Genomic DNA, 20,629 nt, shown 5'->3' on the forward strand with positions numbered 1-20,629 from the left:
AGAGTGCATGACTTTTAGAATTGCTCATCAACAGGTACAATTTCATAGTCAGTCCCAGGGTTTCACAGGTGTCTGAACAACTCTGGGACCACTCATATCTCTGAGCATAATTGTCTGCTCTCTGAGCTGGCACTGCATCCCAGATGATGGCTCTCCTTGATTTTTCCATGCAGGCATCCAGGAGCAGAGCTGTGGGGCAGCAGAATCTGTGATGACAGAGAATGATGATGTATTTTTGCCAGCAGATGCTTTTGCTCCTGTTTTGATACCCCAATATTCGGATGCAGAAAAGGACTCTGAGCATTGCTGACGGGTGTGCTCTGCACACCTATCTCTTCAGGATCTGAATAATTTGGTGGAAAGACAATGCCTTTTCTGGAAAAGGGTGTCAGGTCAGTCATATTGGAGGATGCAAATTTCCTTATGTGATGGGAGTGAGGGTTGGGGTAGGGCACTTCACGGAGCATTCAGCAGTCTGCAATTAAGCATCACTCCAAGGCTTTCTGCATAGGTGATGGCTGTTTCTGCATCATGGGGCAAACCAGGTGCTAGAACTTCAAATGCCAATTACCAAAGGCGCTTCCTGCGGAGGAAACCTCTCTACAACTCACCTGACCCAGAAGGCACACATTTTTTTCTGGGTTAACATAAATGCTAAAATTGAAGAAATGAAACATTCTAAAGGCAGGATCATGTAGGTGAGATCCTTTGCCTCCTAAGCTTTTGTCCTGCCAGTCTTTTCTGTGCCTTACCATGATACCTGTGCTAGAAGTCTTCTGGGAAGCTCTTGTATAGAACCTCCAACTCTGGCAGGGTTAGTCTTCAGGGATGCTTCAGGCAGAGACCTTCTCAATATCTATCCTTGCGTCACATGGGCATTGAGTATAAGACAGCTGAGTTAGGGTCCTGTTCAGAGCCTGGGATCAGGGAACCCGCATAGTCTAAGGAATACAGGAGTCCCTCTTCCCACTGCCAAGGACAAGTTTGCAAACCTGACTAGCGAAGCCCTTCTTCTGATTAAGGCAACGTGGCCCCCTGGTTATGAGTACAGATTTCCAAATCCAATTAGTGTGGCTTTTAATACCTGCTTTGCTATCCAATAGGCACAACAATGAAAAAGTTGCCTAACTTTTCTCTGCCTTGAATTCCTCATCCATATAACAGAGATGAAAAAACAAAACAAAACAAAAATTTATAGATTAGAGTTAAATGAGAGGATTTGTGAAACTTCTGATAGACAAAGCATACTCAAAAAATGGGAGTTTATAAAAAGAACCATCAACTAGCAATGCAACCAATTTAGACAATTCCCTCTCCGGGTGTCTCGGCGTTCTGATTCTAATCTCTGAGAGCTGGCTCAGAACACAAGGGTGGCCCGCTTGGCCTCTAAAGTTTGATGATTCTCAGGTCCTGTAAAAGGACACTGAGGAAACCATGAAATGCCAGGGGAGGGACCAAGGCACTGTAACAGGGAAACCTGAGCCCACAGCGCCATCTAGCCCGCTTGGCCCACGCCCCGCTGTGCCTGCAAGTGTAACCCGCCCAAGCATCCTCCTCTTTTTATTTTTTTAAAGTATAATTACCGGAGCTTATGTTTCACAGTTAATGCTGTCAAGCCTTTTAAACTAATTGGTCTTTTATAGAAAATTTAACTGAAAATTAACACATCTTTTAATAACATTGCCTTAACTTTAATGGCTCTCTGCCTTTCGTTTATAATTGCTCTAAAATTGTCATTTTCCATGTCATAGCTGCCATTTTTTATATTTGCTAGTTTTCATGGTGTAGATTTTTATTTTTAGTATTTTTCTTTCGTGAGGGATGAAAATGATTGGATTTTTTTTTCCCTACCCCAGGCCTGCCTGGCCTGATGTGACAGCAGTGGTCTGTCCTGAGTCTAGCAGGACATACCTCCATGTACCCGACTGACACCACTGCTAGCTCCTCTGCCTCGGGACGGCCATGTGCCCTCTGTCTCCGTGTGAGCAGTTGAAATGGAGGCTCTTGAGTGGAGTGTAAGAAATAGGGTTATGGAGCAATAAATTGTTTATGTAACTAAAATCACATGGCATTAGGTTAGCTTGGACTGATAGAGAACTCAGGCCTCTCCATAACACCAGGTTCAAGGGTTTGGCCCTTAATGAAAGTACAGGAAAGACAGTAAATCATGTGAACCCACATTCCAGACGGTCACACCCTCCAGTCTTACTGATATAACTTCGTTTCTGGCAAACAGGCCAGCTCTCTGATATTAAAGATGAGAACATGGAATCATATCTTCTGGGTACCCCAACTCATCTACCCACTAAGCTCCCAAATATTATCTAAGATGTGTGTTCATGAAAGAGAGAAAGAGAGAGGATAAGTGCACACAAACACATAAATATATATACATATATGTACATGCATATATACCAAAAAAATCTGCTTCTTTGTAATTACATGTGATCTTAAGAAATACGTATCTGCTCTGTGAAAGATTTTTATATGCCTTTGCCATTCTCCAATTAGCAGAAAGTCATAAGGAGTAACATCATTCCCATTTAACAGTAGAAAAAATGTGCAAGGGCTGCCGGTGAGCCAGGACCAGAAGCTACAAGTCCTAATTCATGGCCCAGTTTCCCTCCTCCAAGTCACTGCCTTTGTTCTGAAAATATGAATGCACTGGACATGCAAACTCCTGCCCTGGGCATTGTGGTGCAGTGGGCAGAGCAAAGACACACCTGCCTTAACTGGCTCACATTGAAATTTCTCTCTAGCTCCTGGGGGATCCTGCGCATGGGTCTCTCCATAGGCTGGCATTCACGCTTCTCAGATGTATCGTACACTAGCAAAAGGGGCCTCTGCTTTTCTCTGCTCTTTCTCTTAACACTGTTATAATATGCTTTTTCTTTATTTTTCCAGATTAGGTAGGCCCTGCAAACCTAAAGCTTCATTAAATCTTGTTTTCTAAAAAAAAAACGACAACACTCCCAACTTGTGTGCATTGGAACTCATTAGCTCTTGTAGTAGGGTTCCCCTTTTTCTCCTCAGAAGGAGGTGGCTCCTCACTGCTCCTTCAATAACGATGGTTCAGTGTGATTGGTATCTGTTTAGGAAAGGTCCAAGGCTCAAGGAAAATGGACATCATGTGCACAACCTCCTAACTCAGAGGACAAGCAAGTGACCGGAAGGCCAAGGATGCTGTCTGACCACAGACATTGCAATGCAGACACATAAGATTAGAAGCAAAACGCAGGAGGCTGGTAAGGCCAGGACAGTGGGATGAACCAAGCAGGGAAGGGACATGAATGAAGCAGGCCTGGTGGGATACAATAGAGAGTAGTGTGGACTGTGGCTAAAGGGAGCAGCTGCTCAGCTCAAGCCAATAGCTGCTTTACGGGAATCTGGGACTCTGCCTTCTGACTCTAATTTAAAGAAGGCAGGAACCCCGATTTTATATAAAATCTTATTTTAAAATATTGGCAACAAATTCAATTTAAAAATAAAAACTTGATAAATGCAGAAGTTGTCTGTGGGGTAGATGTAGACTGCAATGTGACATTTCGAGACTTCTATTACAGATCTTTTATTAGAAACAAGATATCAAGCCAAGTACTATGCCAATATATTGTGCTATTTCTTCTTCTAAAATGAGTGCATGAGGATGGGGTGTTGGACAAAAAAATAATCAAGGGTTGCGCTTCAGGAATCAACTCAGTGATGAGCTCACTGTCCTAGCCAGCGTATCCAGAAACAGTGGCATTAGGAGGAAGCTGGTGGCTTTCAGAAGAAGGAGGATCCTCTCGCCAAGTCTGAAGTGTCTCATTCCAGACTTAGAACTTGGCCAGATGTGGTCTATTGTACTCGGAATACTCAGTGTGGCCAGCGGCCTTGCCTTCTTGATTGCCTTCCTGTCTACCACATTCCAACCATAATGGCCTCCAACTGCTTCCTCCAACAAACCAAACCCAGCTTGTCACCACTGTGCAGCTTTGGCCTTTATAGTGTTCTCTCCCTCTGTTTTTTTCAGTGTCAGCTTCAATGTTACCTCCTAGGATAATTTTACTCTGACCACTGAGGGTAAAACAGGTCTCCACACCCATTCAAGCTATTTCATGTTCTTCAAATCAATTATCCTTATGTGACACTATTCATTTATTCACTTACCTATTTACTCTTAACCCACTAGAATGAAAGTTTAAATAACATGAAGGCAAGGTCTTCATCCTTCTTTTTTACAACTGAATCCGCAGCATGGGGAATCATGCCTGGTGTCCAGTAAGTGCCCAATAAATGTATTGATTAAAAACACTAGCAACAATAAATACATACAGAGCTTGTCAAGTGCTAAGCACCGCTCTAATCGCTTTACAACCTTTACCCATTTACTCATCTCTGCAACCCTGTGACATAGGTACTATTACTATCTTCATTTTAAAGATGAGAAAACTGAGGCACAGGGAGGTTAAGGTTACCCAGCCAGTAAACAGCAGTTCTGGAATCCAGATCTAAGCCATCTGGCGCTTGAGTCCATGTCCAGTATTCACTTTTCAGGGTCCAAGTGGAGCTTAAGTTGGGGCTGGGGTTGGGAGAAAGTGATAGCTGGATGAAAAAGAAATCTGAATACTCATATGTGAGTCTCATCCCTAAAAACAGAGAGGATTCCTTTCACCTGGTGCGACTGTGTGCATCAAGATGGTATCATTCTGAAAAATACATTTCTAAGTTGTGATCTTCTTAGAGACATATATCCAAAAACCTAATTATTCCCTCTCATCCTGTGTTTCTGCTGTTGATTTGTGAGATAAAGCCACAGGGCCATGTCTGTAACATCCTGATCTGTTCCAGGAATGCCTGTGATGAATCAAAATATTATTCTTTTAACAAATGAAGCAGTAAGCAGCAGGAGTTGGGTTATGAAGGACAATATTCAGAGAATGTTTAGACACATGATTAAATGACAATTTGGGGAGGAGCGCTAGAATAAGGAGACTGTCAACAGCTGAAGAGATTTGTGTGTGGATGTTGTGATGTTGCTTATGAGTGAATGCCTGCAATGAAAGTTTACCTCTGTCTCCTGCTGTTTGGAGGAGTCTCACTTTCTCAATTTATATTCATGACAGCCCTTTTTGTTCCTTCTAGTTACTGCCTTGGCACTTGACTAATCTGTTTTTTCATACATTAAGGTTGGGGTAGAATGCAAAGAAATCACAGGTAACATTTTACCAAAACGTCTGGATCCAACTAGATTTGTGGACTCAGACCCTACTCAAGACCTCATTATGAAGCTTGTTCATCCTAGACAATGAAAACAAGACCTGGAATAATTTGATAGGCATTTTGATTAATGATTTGAAAAGTTACCATCAATGACTTACTTAAATATGTCTTGCTTCAACACTTAAACCAAGAGTATTCACATTATTGTCCAAAAGATTCGATAGTGTAGCTAAAGTGCCTCGCACAGTTCTGGGCCCTTAGTAAATGATGCTCCTGATGATAAATACAATGACAGTTACCAGATTCCTGATACCCTTTTATCCTAGGCTAGAATGCAGAAGACATGCTGCTCCCATACTATTGCATCCAAACATGCCTTAGTCACACTATCCCAAACATTTTTGTGTGCATTTCAAAGGAGATGAGAGATGGCTTGTTTAAAAATTTCAAATCAATTCACTTTGAATTCTCATTTGAATTTCCAAGAACTGACTACCTACTGATGATATAGATGCTTGTGCAACTCAAATCCAGATGGGCCCCCACCTCCACCCTGTGGCTACCATATGCCCCTTTGGCTGTGTTGAAAAGAAGTTCTCCAGTGCTCAAACCGATTTTATTCCTTGGAACCAGGGCTGGTTTCATGGGTGTTCAGCCTATGTGGTTGCACAGGGCTGTACTCAGACACATCTCTGTTGTTTTATTTTATTTTATTTTATTTTTTGAGACAGGGTCTCATTCTGTCACCCAGGCTGGAGTGCAGTGGCGCTATATCATCTCACAGCAACCTCCACCTCCCAGGCTCAAGCGATTCTCAGGCCTCAGCCTCCCAAGTAGCTGGGATTACAGGTGCACACCACCACACCCAGCTAATTTTTTTATATTTTTAGTAGAGACAGGGTTTTGCCATGTTGCCCAGGCTGGTCTCAAACTCCTGGGCTCAAGTGATCTGCCCACCTCGGCCTTCTAAAGTGCTGGGTTACAAGCGGTAGCCACCGCACCCAGCCCCAAGTCTCTTTTGTTTTAATACTCTGCTGTCACCATTTTGAAATTCTTAATAATTCATGAAAAGTGACCTTGCAAATTATGTAGCCAGTCCTGCTAGAAACATACTAAATATCTGATATGTAGAAACATAAACAATTTTATAAATTTGGAATTTTAAAAATGTTATCAGAGTATTTTGTAGTTCTGAAAAAAAAATTCTACTGTAAATAGTTTAACCAGCTCTTAGAACAGTCTTCTGAGATCTCTGTAATTAGGATCAGAACTAAAATAAAAATTTCTAATGAGATGAATTACCAAAATCCATTTGAAACTGGATTTGCAGAATATGAGGCCTATGACTGAGAATATGGTCTTCTTAGGAACACATCTTGAGGCTTCTATCATTCCTTCTGGCTTGCTCAAGGAGTTTGCCCAAACTGAGCCCAACATCACTAGCAGGTAGAAAGGTTAGCCTTGGTATCATCAGGCCATAAGAAAGATCATGAGCCCCAGGAAACCAAGGGAGCCCTTTTCCAAGGACCATTTTATCTCCTTGTTGGCTTGGAAAGCCATGGCATGGCATGAAGCCCAGTTAACCTTAATTCAGACGAATGTCATTTCACAGTCATTTTTAAATCCAAAATTCTGATTTTTAAATAAGATATGCTTGCAGTTGGACAATGTTCAGGCATACAGAATAACCCAAATTAGTCTTAAAAAGCTTTATGTTTTTTCTTTCCTCAAATAGAGGTCCTTCTGGGATTAGCATTATTTAATGAATAGATGAGACCAGTACATAATTAGCATATCAGTTGTTTAGCACATTCAGGAGAATAACTTTCAGCACTTTAAGAAATATACGTGTGTAAAAACTCTGAGTTCTGTTTATGGTTTTAATGTGTTCAGAAAAGCTCTTTATCATGGATTCTCCAAAGGTCAAGTTTTTGTTCAGCCTATGTCTGCATTTTCACAAATTGAGAATTTGAGAACTCCAAAATGAAGAAGATTTTCTACATAATAAATAAAGATGCTCAGTGGGAAGACTTCATAATACCCAGGTTATGACTCATTCTAAATGCCTACTTTTGCCTTTTGCAGTGAAAGATGGCTCCATAATGTTGGGACCCATTTTTTAATCGTTATTTGTTTTTCGGTTGCAAAAGTGAAAAAACAAATGCCTGATTGCTAGATGCACATCAAGTTATAAAAGAAACCAAAGCTGTGTTTGATCCCTGGGCCAGCCCACTGTCCTCTCTCTGCCACTAACTCCTCCCTCCTTCCAGCCAGGCCTTGCCTCCATGCCTGGTTCTCTCCCAAGGACTTCAGTCTCAGTGACAGGCCTGGCAGTCATCTTTGACCCACTGTCCTCTCCACCTTCTGCTCATGCTCAATCTTTTCCCAAGTCCTATTAATTGTACTGCCCAATACCACTGAGCTCCATCCACCTCCCTCGATCCCAACACCAGCTCTATCCTAGTCCAAGCCATGACAGCCTCTTACTCAGACCTCCTGCCGCCATCTTGTACCTCTGAATCATCCTCCCTACAACAGCCAAGGCAATCCCCTTAAAGCATGAACCTGATTATGTCACTCTCCAACTAAAATCCTTCAGTGCCTCTTCATTATTCTTAAGAAAAAGTCCAAAACCATGAAAATGTGTTTCAAGGTTCTGCAGGTCTAACCTTGGCCATCCTCCTGCACCCTTGTCTCCCCATGGTCCAGCCTCACAGGGTTTCTTTGCCTTCTTTGAGAGCCTCAGGTCCCCCCCAACACCAGGTTTTGCATTTGCTTTCTTTCTTCTTCAGAGAATGCTCTTCCCCCAAGATCTCCCCTCTTTATGGCTCAAATTTTAGCATAAAATGTACAACTCCCTTGGGGAATTTTTCTGGGATCCCCAAAACCAGGTCAAGCCCTCACCTATATTTCCTTCTAGCCTGCCTTGCCTTCCTTGCACTTGAGGAATTTATAATCAAACATTTACTTGTGTGATGGTTTTATAATGTGGGTCTCCCCTTCTAAGGTGTGAGCTTCTAGGAGTCTTGCTCTCCACTGTGGCCCCAGTGCAGCCCAGGGCCTCAAAGGTTGGAGGTGCTCTATTGGCACATCCTCCACCCTTGAGTGAGGAGGAGGGAACAGGATAACTCACCGCGCTCATGAGTGAGTCCAGGACACTGACGGCAAATGCTGTCCCACAGGCAAAGGGCTGCGTGAGGTACAGTTCTGTATCAGGGTCATCATCATCGTCTTGGTCCAAAAACTGAACATTAGTATCGTTCACTAGAAAAAGCATAAAATAAGAATTAGCTCTGAAGACCACACACAGGCATTGAAGCCAGAGGGAGACCAGGCTACTGGTTTAGAAATACTGAAGTCATTGAGAAGGAAACAAAAGCATGGAATAAGCTGTAGATGGATCTTTGGGTAAGGGGGGCAGTGGGACTCAATGGACTGTTCCTGTGTCACTGTTTAAGTGTCTGAGACCTGGAGAGCAATAAGTTCAAGCAGGCTTGCTCCACGGCAGGCCACTGGAGGACCAATAGACTGTGCTGGCCAGTCCTTTGGCATAGCTTTAGGATCATGACCTAAAAACACTTTCCAGTGTTTTTTGGTAACCAAGTCCTTTGAGAGATGGACATATTTCAATGATGAGCAGCCATGCTGGGATAGTCATTTTAGCCACAATGAAAAGAAAGCAGCTTATTGGGAGTAAAGAGCGCTGGAAGGGGAGCACAGCAAAGGCAGATAGCAAGGAATTCAGCCACAGGCATAACCCGCAGCCTACCCACTGGGATTGGCCTGGGTAGTTCCCGGGGTCCCAGGCCCTAAATCTAGGTCCACACCCAATAGGCCCTGTTTAATACACAGGAAACCCCAGGTGGGATGGATGCCTGGCTGTCTCCTGCTGCTTGCTGACAAGGACTTGCTCTGAATTTTGAGTTGCATGGGGACGCCCACGTTCTCCCTTTCCCATCCTAAACAGCTCAATCTTTTATATGCTTGCATTCAAGCAGATGCAGCATTGGATGCTGTATTTCATTTCCATCTGAGGATTCCTCAAGGACTCCTCCCGCATGTACGTGCAGGCTGATTAGTTGTGTCACTCAGATGTCTTTAACTTATTAAAAATTAAATGACAAATTAATTTCCATTCCCATCTTGGCTTTGGAAATTATCAGTTTTGCAGAGCAAGTAATAGGGGAAAAGTCGGTGGGGGGATGGGAGAAGGGGGCACTCAAAATTTCTGAAATAATTATTGTGATTTTAGGAAGAGAACAGATGAGGTTTCCTTTCCCTGATTCCTTTCTAAATGTATCAACAGCTAATTCTTTTTTCTAGAGTGATTGTTTTAATTTTTAAGCAACTTTCTTGATAACTCTTCTTTTTTAAAAAAAAAAAACTTTTGTTTACTGTATGAAGCAGAATAAATGATACTAGCATGAAAGGCTAGGCATGGAATTAGTATTTTAAAATGACATCATCTTGTTTCCCCAGAGAAAAATTCTAATGGGGAAAATCTTTGCTCTGTTCTTCCAAAATTGGTCACATTTGGGTCCCCATTGTTTAAGCAGCAATTGAATTGCAGGCTAGTGGTGAAAGTCCAAAATCCAGGCTCTGACAACTGGGCTTCAGTCCAGCCTGTGCTGCCAACTTCCTTGGGCAAAGCATTTCATCATTCTATACCTTAGTTTGTTTCTGTAAAATGGGGGAGTTACAGCAGCTCTCTCATGAGGCTGTCAGGAGGCTCATACGAATGGGATGGTGCCCAGTAAGCCTGGCCCAGCATCTGGATCATGCCATGACTTGATAAATACCAGCTGCTGTCATGATCTCCCTTCTGACATTAAATACCTGTCCACCCATTATAGCATGAAAATACCCAGCTTCCCTCTGCCTCTCTTGGAAACACTGAAGGTCTTGCTCAGGGGTCTTTCAAGAGGTAGCTTTTCCTCACCTCCCTTCACTTGTCCAAAGGGATGTTGTAGGCCACTGTTTAGTCTTTCTGTTTTGTGAATCAGAAAATGTAAACTGGAGACCACATATGGAAGAATGCAGTTTTAGTTACTTGTAATAGCCACCAATGGTGTGTGTGGCAATGCTCCGAAAAGCACAGCATCTGTTACCTCTTATCAGGAAGATGGGGAAGGGTTGGTACCAGATATGGAGGTGAAGTGACTCCAAGTAGGGGGAGGGGACTCCCGATTGCCAGTGAGCTAGACATCTGGGGTCATAGGAAAAGCGCTCCAAGAGACCAGCCAGGGTCCAGTGAATACCTTGTATACCGTTCTGAAATACCCAGTCTCAGAAGGAGAGCAAGCAATGCTACTCAAGGCCTATTTCACAGAACAGTAATTATGTGGGTGCTAAGAGGTACCCACGTAATCACCCCAAAGCATATGTGGTCAAATACAATTGGAATAGTCAGGTGAAACAGCTGTAACACAGTCCTTTCTTGTGAGACTCTGAGGAGCCTTTGCCATGCTAACATCAATTGAGAGTCTCCAAGTAGATGAAAAGTGGAATGTGCTACACAGCTTTGAAAGCTTGTGTGGCCTTGGTGCCCTCTGTGTCTCTTAAAATTCATTATACTGGCCTGGCATAATGCAGAACACATCTCAGAACATGTAGATAAATAAGAAGTATTTGTGGGGGATGTGGGAGGTGAAATGGTCTGAGGAGGGTGGTATAGTGGCTAGAGAAATAGGTTTCAAGGCAGAAGACAAGGGTGGTGTGAGCACCTGAAAGATTCTCTGAACACAAGGAAGAAATCTGGTGTGGGACAAAGGCTTCAGGAGAGTCAATGATGCTAATCAAATACCAGAATTGTTGCCTTAGGTTTGGGGCACCAAGCTTTTCCTTTTCTCGTCTACTAATGACAAATTAAGATATCCTAGTTAGTCAGCGGCACGTGAATTCCAAATAGAAAATGAAATTCCCGGCAGTGAGGATTCTGAAATGCTGCTGTAGGTTTGTGAGATGGAGATGTTTGGATTAATTTTCCAACCAGAGGCGTGGACCACATGAGCCCTGGGTCTCTTATTGCCCTCCAGTTCTGAGGAGAGCAATCCAGAAACCTAGGGCTTTTAAACAACTACACTAAACATGAAAAAGATACCCCTCCTATGGTTGGAAACAGAAAATAGTGTGATACTCCCTGACCTGAGTGAATTTGTCCTGATAAATAGCTATACCTACAATAATGCACTGCTGAGTGGTGGACAATTTATTCCTTGGTTTCTAGACATCTCGCAAGCAAGATTACTGTGTTGAAAGCCTGCTCCCTTATTTTGAAATATATTTTTGGGCCAAGAAAATGGGGTGTTCATTTCATTTGTGAGTCATGTGAAGGCAGGTGCTCCCACCTCTCTATCCACCCCTCTGCTGAGCAGCACTTTTGCTGTCTCTATTTAGAAGATCAATCCCCAGTTCTGAGACTTGCTGCTGATGGGTGCCCTTCATGGAGTTATTAACCAAGTCACGGGGAAGTGGGGAAGAACCTAACAAATGCAGTCACGACTGGAGGCCTTTATCGTCCACCTGAGTCCATTGTGAATCTCCCAGAGAGGATTCTGGGCTGGGATTGGGGGCCAGAGTGCAGGGCTGCACGTGGGTGGCTGCTAACCTTATCCTCCGCACCCTTCTTGAAATCTGCCTTTAGTAAAAAAAGTTCTCCTAGGGACCAGGTGTTTTTATGGCTTCAGAACCAGAGCTTCTGAGAAATGCCCTAGTAGGGGGGAAAAAAAAAAAAGGCAAATAAAGTCAGAATAAAGAAAAATAAACAGCTGGAGGGAAAGTGCCATCTTAGGTTTCTTATCTTAAAATTTTGATATTCTCCTTTGACTTCCTCTAAGAGCTGTGAAGACATGTCATTCAAACTGACAGTATGTTGGAAGAGGAGTAGAAGGGAGAAGGCGGGAGAGCGGGGTGACAAAAAAAAGTGGGGAAAAAAGGCTCAGGCCAGAGAAAATGAATTAGAGCAAATATGCTTTGGAAACAACTGCCAGGTCAGATGGGTGTGATCAAAGGTTTACTGATGCTGTGTGGGGAAAAAATCATTAAGAAAGGCCAGAACAAGACAGTCGATTCCAACCAGAGCCACAAATAAAACACATTCAAAGCAGTGCCATGGGGTAGCCTTTCTGTTACAGCCGGTGAAATAAAAACAAGCTGATGATAGTTGGAAACACCAACAACAGAACAAAAGGAGATACTGATGTGAAGGAAAACAGTGCTTCTTACCCAGTTCAGTTATCATTAGAATGTGCGTCCCACTGTTTTTTTCCTGATTGACTGATACCAAAGGCAACTTGCCCGGTTTAGCTAATTGGATACAGCATTTAAGGGTTGGGGAAAGGGAGTGGAGGAAAGTACAGAAAAAGAAGAGAGTGAGGGAATAACAGAGGAAACATTCTCAAGTAAAGGGACCCCGGACCACAGGTAGTTTGCATTTGTCTTGGGGGAAGAGGCCACTCTACAGTTTTGCACACTCACTAATGGTAACAGGGAGTGCCATGGCCAGGTTAGAAGTTAGATTCTATTGTCCAACCAACATGGCCCTCAAAACCCCATCATTTTGGGGGCCAGAATGGCATTTGCTGAAAATGGCTTTTGGCTGAGATATTCAACTACGATACGTTAAATGTCAAGTTATTACACATTAGCCCAGGGCTTCTACCTTGTTCCCAAAATGGGTTTGGCTTAGATCCGAGGCTTTGTATATCAGTGGAGGACTCAGATTGTAGGAGCTGTCCAGACAGAATGCTCAAAAGAGGTTCTTACAGTAAAAATCACCAGAAAGAATCCGTGAACTAAGCCTTTCCTCCTTTCCTCTCCATTCCCAATTGAATGCCCCAATCGCAAATCCATCATCTCATGCTCCTTTGAAAACAGTGACCAGCATGAAGGAAACTGTCTATTCATCTCAGAAGAAAGATAGATCAGTTTTCCCTTCCGGTAATCTGCCATATTTCTCCCCATACCTTCCTCCCAGCCCCCTCAAAACAAACCCCATAGCAGCTACAAAGTTGAAAGGGCTAAGAAATAAACCAACCTCCTCATATCCTGTATGGTTTGAAAGACAGAACAAAAACTCCCCCCAAAGCTGACATTGACCCCTACCTAGTTCAGTGATGATGGGGATGTTGACCCCAGTTGTGATGGATGGTTGACGTAACATCCCGTGCACTGGGCTGTTATCTGGAGAGGATCTATCCATTCCTGGAGGTGTGAACCCTAGTGGGAAGGAAACAGAGGAGGAAGAAAAATCAGAGAAGTAGAAAATTTGGAAATAATCAGAGTACACTATATACATACAACCCCAAAAATGTAGCTTATGCATTATTCACAGGTCAACAATTAGTATTCCCGGGATAAACTCTGATGATTAATTCTTTAGAAGGACAGGGTAGGAAACCATTATAAATAATCGTAACTCACTTCATAGTTCCCTAAAAAATCCAGACTTCATACCAATTATTTATTCTGCTCATAGATCTTGGCTCCCATCTCTTTCCAGGGACACAGGAGAATTATCCCCTGTGCCCCCTTGAAGTTAGGTATGGCCATGTGACACATGAAATGCTCTGGCCCATGAAAAGTGAGCAGAGCAGTGCATATCACTGCTGGTTCAGGTATTGGACAGCCATCTCTCTCTTCCCAGGCCATGGCAACTGTGAGAATACAGGTTACTATGGAGATGAAGGCTAGACAACAGCCCTGGACAGTTACCCAGACCCACAAAGCATACTGAGTGAGTCAAGAATAAAGCTGTGTTGCTTTAAGCCGCTGAGATTTGTTTGTTTGTTTGTTTGTTGTTGTTGTTACCACAACATAACCTAACCTGGCCTGACTGTTACCGTAAACCAATCAATTGCTTATCCTCTTGCTGGTGAGTGACTTAGGCCTCAGTTTTCACAGAGTTCTGGCCAATGGGAGGTGTCAGGAAATCTTCCTGGGGCTTTCAGGAAGTGTTTCCTTGCTCTTAAAAAGAAACACATAGGAAGAGATTCTCTTTTAATTTACTGAGCACGGTTTTATGTGCCTGTAGTGCCAGGAACTGAGGCACCAGCTGAGGGCATAACTAACTTAGTGATATTGGCTCAAGTGAATGACAGGAAGAGCTGTCCTGGAGTTCCTGGGGCAAGCAGCCTGGAGCCATCCCACCTCAGGATTTCTCCCTATGTGAGATTTTATACACATAAACACACACACACACACACACACACACACATACACAAATGTATTTATACATATACATACACACAATATAATAAGATGTTCACATTTTTTTCTTTCTGTTTAAGCTAAATGGAGAAGGAGTTTACTTGCATCTAAATCCTCCTGACTAATGTATATGCCACCTGCTTATGGCTGATCCCTTGAACTTCCCAGTGTGCCAAACACAGACCACATAAGGTATATGTGGACACAGGAAAATTGGAAAGCAGCCTGCTTGGTCTCTGATTTTGCAGTTTGGGCTTCTTTGGGTCCCAGGTCCAAGCCAAGTACATACCTGGATGAGGTTGGAACAACTGTAACTTTCAGTTTAGTGAGAGTGAGAAATATCCCGGCTAGGCAGAATGTCTGCCTCGTTAAGGTTTTGCATGGACACATATCAATATTAGAAACCTATTTACTTCCTACATTCATCTGGTAAAAATTAATTTTTCTAACGAAGCATACGGCAGCTCCACGCAAGTGGCAAGACCCAGTGCAATTACATTTAGATGATAGGCAAGCATTCACACTCACTTCGGTTTCTCCTTTTTTCCTTCAGCGGAATGCTACATGGGCTTACCAATGAATTAGGGACTTTTAGGAACAAAGTCACTTGCTAAATTTCCAAGGATAAAACTCCAAATAGATTATTATGTGACCAGATATCTGACTCACTTTCCAGCAATGTGACAAGATTGTGTTGAGTCTGGCATTTTGGCTAGGTGTGAGTCAGGAATGAAATACGGGAGCTCAATAATTGCCTGTTGTTTTGGAGGTGCATAATGCATAAAATGCCAGAGAAATATAAAAGGGTTTTCTTACTTTCTGCTCTCCCGTGTATACATTTCTTATCACTGAGTGCCATACTTTCAAAAAGAAAGACAAAGTTTTACTTAATATCCATTCCCTGACTGCACTTAAATTGATTCTTTACATTAATACACTATGAAAAGGGTAAGTCATTTTGATTGACATTGTAGTGTCCATCTTTTCAAACTTTCGAATATATGTTTTTCAGCCAACCACATAACCAAAAACACGCATTTTTAAATGCTAGCTGTTTTCTTCTTCTAGGATGGTGAAGGGGAAAACTAAACTGTTTTCATTAGAAGTTTCATTCAAAAACATGAAAAACTGGAAGTGACAGCTGTGCAGATTCAGTGGATGTGACGTTTTTGAATTTCTTCAACTTGACAAGTAAACACCTTAAATCGGTAATGCTATATGCATAATACATGGCCTGTATTTTGACATCCATCATCAAATGCTGACTTGAGAAAATACGGGTTTGTACGTCAAGGAATAGCACCCATAAAGCAGGGAGAAATGCAGGTCACACGGTATTAGGAAAACTGTATTTCATTACAGAACTCGCAACAAGCCACGGCATCCTTTTATTTTATCTTATTTAAAGATTCCATTTTCAGCTGTGAAAAGACTCAATTCCTTTGCATGAAACCTTCATTTGGAAATGACATGCTTGCTTCATAGGCTTCTTTCATTTTGCTTTCATATTCCATTTTCCCCTTCAGTCACCAGGCCTGGTTCCATTAGCATCTGCAACTGACAAACTATGGTAGGTGTCCAAAGACATCTCTCTGTTGAAGGCCCAACTCTCCCCTATGCATGACTCCCCAAAAAAGTGTGCTTTTATTGCTAAGAAAACTTCATGCCTCTTTTTGTTTCCCTACTTTTCTAGTCACACATTTTTAAAAGCAAAAGGCAACAATAACAGCAAAGTTGGCTTCTTCTTTTTCCCTGGTGTAGAGTTATGTTAAAGGTGAACATAATTTATTAGCATTGTTTCTTTCTTAGGGGTACTGATATGGGAAAATTATGGTCAGAAACGGCAGGATTGCCCCAGATTCCTTAAATGGCTTTGGAGAGAAGAGAAATTCAAGCACCTTCCATAAAGGAATGAGGCAATCCGGCCTTTGATGCCATAGGATGGTGTCCACCGCATTCCTCATAGCTGCATTTGATAAAGGGGCAGGTCTAAATTGTGGCCCAATCTCTGACCATCTTGCTCTCCTTCCCATTATTGCTTGCAGCCATGACTATATCATGGGTAGCACCTGAAGTCTCTCTACATTAAACAACGCCCTAGTTCTGCATGTGAACACACTGGCACATGGAATATACTCCAGAGATCTACAGCTAGAGAACAGTGAAACTGGGAAACACTCCCTTCATTAGTTAAACTAACACTTGGGAAGTTAATTTTAGAAACAACCACTTATTTTGCCAGAAAAGATGACTAAGAATATCACCATTAGAGACATGGAATGAGAAGTCCTCAATCAGGAAAAGACTGAAGTTTAAATCATCCACAGCCAAAGCTATCACCAGATGGGCTCCTGATTCTTTAGCCATGTACCCATAGCACTTTGTTGATCATGGCCATGGGAGGCAAGTTTTGTGCTAAAAATGACTTCCATATGTTTGTTGGCCATTTGTATATAACATCACTAAGTATCAGGAAAATGCAAATCAAAACACAATGTGATACCACCTTATTCCTGCAAGAACGGCCATAATCAAAATATCAAGAAACAGTAGATGTTGGCATGGATGCGGTGAACAGAGAACACCTCTACACTGCTGGCGGCAATGTAAACTACTACAGCCACTATGGAAAACAGTGTGGAGATTCCTCAAAGAACTAAAAGTAGATCTACCATTTTATCCAGCAATCCCACCACTGGTTATCTACCCAGAGGAAAAGAAGTCATTATTCGAAAAAGATACTTGCACACGAATGTTTATAGCAGCACAATTCACAATTGCAAAACCATGGAACTAACCCAAATGCCCATTAATCAATGAGAGGATAAAGAAACTGTGAGATATATATATATATACACACACACATATATATATCACATCACACACACACACACACACACACACACACATATATATGTGAGTGAATACTACACAGCCATACAAAGGAATTAATTAACAGCATTTGCAGTGACCTGGATGAGACTGGAGACTATTATTCTAAGTGATGTAACTCAGGAATGGAAAACCAAACATCATATGTTCTCACTGGTATGTGGGAGCTATGCTATGGAGATGCAAAGGCATAAGAATGATACAACAGACTTCAGGGACTTAGGGGTTAAGAGTGGGAGGGAGACGAGGGATAAAAGACTACAAATATGGGGCAGTGTATACTGCTTGGGTGAAGGATGCACCAAAATCTCACAGATCACCACTAAAGAACTTACTCATGCAACCAAACACCACCTGTACCCCAATACCCCAATAACTTCTGGAAACAATAAAAATAAAATAAATAACTTCCAAAGACCACCTGAACTCCTTACACTGTAAGTTTTCTCCCCACTCCAATCTTCAGTGGCTGGTGTGGCAGGTTTTTGTTACCTATTTTATTCATTCAGCATGAGACATAAGTGCTTGACCAACTTTATCCTATGACAGATATTCTCATTCTATATACTGTATAAGAACTTTAGGTCAGAGACTGGATTTTCATTTCTTTGAACTTCCCAGATTATCTACAAAATGCCCAGCACATAGAAAAGAAATAGAATGAAATTGTTAACAGCATGGGCTGTAAAGTCAGGTGTCCTGGATTCAAATTCTGGCACCTCCACCTATAAGCCATGGCACTATAAGCATTGTGCAGACTCTCTCCTAGTCTGCTTCTTCATCGATAAACCACAAATACCTCCCACATAGGACAATTGTAAGGATAAAATAAAATAATGTATTTAAAACATTTAGTACAATATCTGGTATGAGGCAAGTGCTAAAAAATGCTGGCTACCAATATTAATATTTTATTAGGTATACAATAAGTATTCGTGGATCACTTCCCCTTCCCTATGGATAAAGAACTGAAGAAGTATTTAGTAGATTCTTAAAAAAGATTTTTCACACACAGAAAATCCTAGAATACTAATGAGAAGGCAATGAGCATTGTGTGTGTGTGTGTGTGTGTGTGTGTGTGTGTGTGTGTATATATATATATATATATATATATATATATACACACAATATTCCTTATGTGATCATAAGGAAAGAAGGACTATGGCTCAGACAAGATATACACAAGTAATGGCTGGAAAAGGGTTCCAGGACACTGTAAACCCAAGTGCATTGGAAAATGAGAAAGGCTCAATGGCATTGTTTTTATGAGACTCAAAGCAAAGGCAAGAATACTCTAGACCTAAACTGGTTAATAATTGAGAATGAAGAAGAGAGGGGGAAGGCTGAACTAGAACCCAAAGAAAAAAAATAGCCAACACTTACTGAGTGCTTACTATGTACTGAATTTTGCTCACGTAATAACTTCGGTTCTCAGAACCATCCTATGTATATACTACTATTTTTCAGAGGAGGAAACTGAAGCACAGAGAAGGTAAGCAACTTGCCCCAGGACATACATCTAGGAATTAGCAGATCTCAGAGTGGAACCCAGATAAACAAGTCCCAGTGTCTCCTCTAAGCCACCACGCCATATTGCTTCTTATGTGCCAGGCTGGGCTAAGGGTTTTTTCATGGGCCACCTTGTTTATTCCTCATAACAGTCCCTGTGTGTTTAGGGACTGTTGATATTTGCATTTTGTAGAAGAGGAAAATAAGATTCAGAGCAGTGGCATAACTGGCTCAAGCATACCCAATTGGTAAGTGTCCCTGGGAGCCGCAGCCAGGCAGTCTGACCTCAGACTCCTGACACCTGCAGGCTGTGCCGCATCCCTGACTTGGGTGCTGGCCTTCTCCTTCTAGGTACTGTCCCTGGCAGGCAAGTCTGAGGCCTGAGCCAGTCTTACTTTTTATTGTTTTCACTTTTAAACAATAGCAGATAACAACTGGGACCCATTGTAGTTATGCTTAACTTGCTTTGGTATGGCAGCATGCACAACTCAGTACATATAATAAATGCTTTATTACAGTACTTTTCCATGGGGGAAACACAAAGTACTTTCTAAATCTTCCCTAGTTAAATCCCTGAGCCTTTCCAGGGAGAGAGGGAGATGGAAATTCTTATCAATCATCTCCCCTAGAATAGATGGAGAAATGAAGGTAAGTGCTTCTCCCACCCCGATAGACTTAACATAAAGGAATTGGTTCAAATGGTGGGCCAAATTATCTTTTATTGTGTGCATATAAATGATGGTTAGAAATCCATATGCTACGTTAAACTAGGGAAATAAATTAGGCCGAGTCATCTAGGTTTGCTGAGACAGGTATTCAATATGAAGTTGTAAAAGGGAAAGATCACCTTTAAAAATGATCTATAAAGACATGTTAAAATCAAGAGAAACATCTCATATTACATCATCTATGAGATGAATTAAATTTCCTGTTAATGCCAGGGAAAAAAACCTCAAAGGCAAATGTCAGATGAAGTGCAGATCAATAAAAATATTTTGATAAGTAAATGCAACAATGCTATTTAACACATGATTGGCAACTGCTGAAACATAAATTATCCAAATTTCCCATTGCTGCTTATGGGAAAATTATGCAGATTAGAACTTGATTAGGCTTATATCATGAGACTCAATTTGGACTTTTAATCTATTAAGCTCCAATAAATGAGGCATCTGAATAGCTCCCCTGAGCAACTACGGTAATAGCCACAGCAGTCATTTTTGCAGTATGTATTCCAACGAATGCTTCAGCAGCTGAAGTAAAGAAAATTCCATGTATAGAAGCACAATTGCTTTCTAACTTGTAGGGGAAGAAAATCCACACACACCAGGTTGATTTGGGAAACAGGTTTTTGGAAATGACTGCAAGAAAAATCCAGCCAAAGGAAAAACCTCAGTTTAACCTTGTAATATTTTTTCACAGTAGTTTTCAGTGGCTTCCTATGAAGCTAGAATCCAGAGTCAGGAAGGCCAGGCAGCTGACCATGTTTACTCAATAAAAAAAAGATTATTTACCAAGGCAGCAGCTTCTCCTGAAACTCCCCAAAGGCCACCCCAACAGGGTAGAGGTAGCCCCCAACAAGGTGCTGGAGGTCAGTGTCAAGGAGGGAAGCGGGGAAATGCCCCTGCCAATTTGTGACTCCCCCGCACAAAGCCTAATGACAGTGCTTGGAAACTGTATAAACAGATAATTCTGTGACTCCTGAGCCAAACCATAAGGTGTCTTTTGCCTCTTCAGCAATCATTCTATGCTAGAAACACGAGAGTTTTCAAAATCCTCTAATCAATTCCTCCATTCTTCAAATGAAGAAACTGAGGCT

At 41.9% G+C, this 20,629-nt stretch overlaps 1 protein-coding gene and 1 long non-coding RNA gene across 54 annotated transcripts in view; one reads left to right on the forward strand and one right to left on the reverse strand.

Annotated features, from left to right (window-relative positions):
* Positions 1 to 20,629, reverse strand: part of KCNMA1 (potassium calcium-activated channel subfamily M alpha 1) — a 768,207-nt gene that overhangs the window by 32,029 nt on the left and 715,549 nt on the right. For 35 of the 53 annotated variants that reach the window (NM_001271518.2, XM_017016222.3, XM_024447990.2 and 32 more), the window contains 2 exons: positions 13,306 to 13,419; positions 8,336 to 8,466 (listed from right to left, as the gene is read on the reverse strand). In NM_001271518.2, the coding sequence (NP_001258447.1) occupies positions 8,336 to 8,466; positions 13,306 to 13,419 (245 nt within the window). Of the gene's footprint in view, positions 1 to 8,335; positions 8,467 to 12,426; positions 12,508 to 13,305; positions 13,420 to 20,629 lie in introns of all 53 variants that reach the window. The other 18 variants (XM_005269776.5, XM_011539785.3, NM_001322835.2 and 15 more) reach the window with 1 other exon arrangement.
* The window catches only part of KCNMA1-AS1 (KCNMA1 antisense RNA 1), a 90,550-nt gene that overhangs the window by 13,587 nt on the left and 56,334 nt on the right, over positions 1 to 20,629 (forward strand). The window contains exon 2 of the long non-coding RNA NR_120655.1: positions 174 to 392. This is a non-coding gene — a long non-coding RNA (KCNMA1 antisense RNA 1). The remainder of the gene's footprint in view (positions 1 to 173; positions 393 to 20,629) is intronic.

This window comes from Homo sapiens, chromosome 10 (genome assembly GCF_000001405.40).
Source record: "Homo sapiens chromosome 10, GRCh38.p14 Primary Assembly".
NCBI classification, from domain to species: Eukaryota; Metazoa; Chordata; class Mammalia; order Primates; family Hominidae; genus Homo; species Homo sapiens.